At 48.7% G+C, this 2,036-nt stretch overlaps 1 pseudogene; it reads right to left on the bottom strand.

Moving 5' to 3' along the window:
* FTLP2 (ferritin light chain pseudogene 2) lies at positions 225-1,097 on the bottom strand (annotated as a pseudogene).

Genomic DNA, 2,036 nt, shown 5'->3' with positions numbered 1-2,036 from the left:
AGGGATAATTCGTTTTCTTGCCTCTTCCTCTTCTGAAGAGGTATCTGCATTCATTCCTTGGTTCAGGCCATTTTCAAAGTCAATAATGGATAGTCTAGTCTTTTTCACATGATATCATTCTGACACTCTCCTTCTTGCACTTTTGAGGAGGACCTTGTAATTACATTGGGCCCACAAGGTAATTCAGGATAATTTTCCTTTTTTATTTATTATTATTATTTTTTTGCATCAAAAAGCTTTATTTCCATTTGATCCAAGGCTTGTTAGGGTAGTTAAGAAAGCTGCCTAGTGGCTGGAGGGAGAGGCTTAGGCAGAGGCCCTGTTACTTTGCAAGGGGCCCTTCAGAAGTCGCTGGGCTCAGAAGGCTCTTAGTCCTGCTTGAGAGAGTGTCTTTCGAAGAGTTACTCGCCCAGCCCAGCCTCCGGGCCGGCCAGCCTGTGGAGGGTGGTCAGGTGGTCACCCATCTTCTTGATGAACTTCACTTACTCATCTAGGAAGTGACTCTCCAGGAAGTCACAGAGATGGGGGTCCGTGCGAGCAGAACCCAGGGCATGAAGATCCAAAAGAGCCTGATTCAGTTTTCTCTCCGGGGCCATGGCGGCTTTCATGGTGTCCGGGGTCTTACCCCACTCATCTTCAGCTGGCTTCTTGATGTCCTGGAAGAGAGCACGGCTGCCACGCTGGTTTTGCATCTTCAGGAGACGCTCGTAGCCCTTGCACTTTTCCTCAGCCAATTCGCGGAAGAAGTGGCTCACGCCTTCCAGAGCCACATGATCGCCGTCGAAATAGAAGCCCAGAGAGAGGTAGGTGTAGGAGGCCTGCAGGTACAAATTGACCAGGCTGTTGACGGCTGCGTCCACGTCAGTGGAATAATTCTGACGAATCTGGGAGCTCATGGTTGGTCGGCAAGAAGGAGCTAACCACAAAAACGGTGCTGGCAGGTCCCAGAAGCAGGAGATGGCCAAGAAGATGGTCCTGGAGGTTGCAAGTGGAGAGGAAATAGGAGGGCGGTCGGAAGCTGGAAGAAAGAGTCCCCGGAACTGTTCCGTCCAAACACTGTTGAAGCAAGAGACAGACCCGTGGGACCGCCGAGCAGCAATTCAGGATAATTTTCCTATCGTAAGGTCATCTGATTAGCAACCTTAACTCAACTTGCAGCCTTAATTCCCTGTTGCCATGGAAGGATACATATTCACAGATTCCAGGGATTCGAGCATGGACATTTTGGGGGTATCACTATTTTGCCTATCCCAGGACCTGAGAACAGTGGCCACTTCTGGGACTATACAGGGATGTTCCCAATTCCAGAGGAGCTGGAATGCTAGTAATTTATCTGGAGAGGACAGATGTGGCTTCTTTATAATACCCCCTTGACAGTACTTCAGTTTACTGCAACCTGAAGGAAAACTTGCTATGTTAGTTTAGTACCTGAATTAAACCTGAGAAGCAATAAGATTCCTAACTGCTTAATTCCTTTACGTCTTTCCCTTCTTTATTTTGAGGTGTGTCTGCTGCCCCTGCTTCTGCATCAGTGCTTTTGCTCTTTTTTCCTTTTGTTTTGTTTGTTTGTTTTTAATTTTTTGAGACGGAGTTTTGCTCTGTCGCCCAGGCTGGAGTGCAGTGGTGCGTGATCTCGGCTCACTGCAACCTCTGCGTCCCAGGTTCAAGCGATTCTCCTGCCTCAGCCTCCGGAGTAGCTGGGATTACAGGCGCCCACCACCACGCCCGGCTAGTTTTTGTATTTCTAGTAGAGACAGGGTTTCACCATGTTGGCCAGACTGGTCTCAAACTCCTGACCTCAGGTGATCCACCCCCTTGGCATCCCAAAGTGCTGACATTACAGGCATGAGCCACCACTCCCGGCCAGTGCTTTTGCTCTTTTACAGAGTCCTTCATTTACTGATACAACTATAGCCTTTGCAGATAGAGAGGGGTCTTCTTCTGATGCAGACCAAGTACTCTGTTCTTGGCACGCCTCCTGAGAAAGTTTTACCATCCCTCAGATCCCCTGCTATAACACATTTCTCCTCATCAAC

Source organism: Homo sapiens, chromosome X (assembly GCF_000001405.40).
Source record: "Homo sapiens chromosome X, GRCh38.p14 Primary Assembly".
Classification (NCBI taxonomy): Eukaryota; Metazoa; Chordata; class Mammalia; order Primates; family Hominidae; genus Homo; species Homo sapiens.
This window is presented reverse-complemented; position numbering and strand designations above follow the sequence as displayed.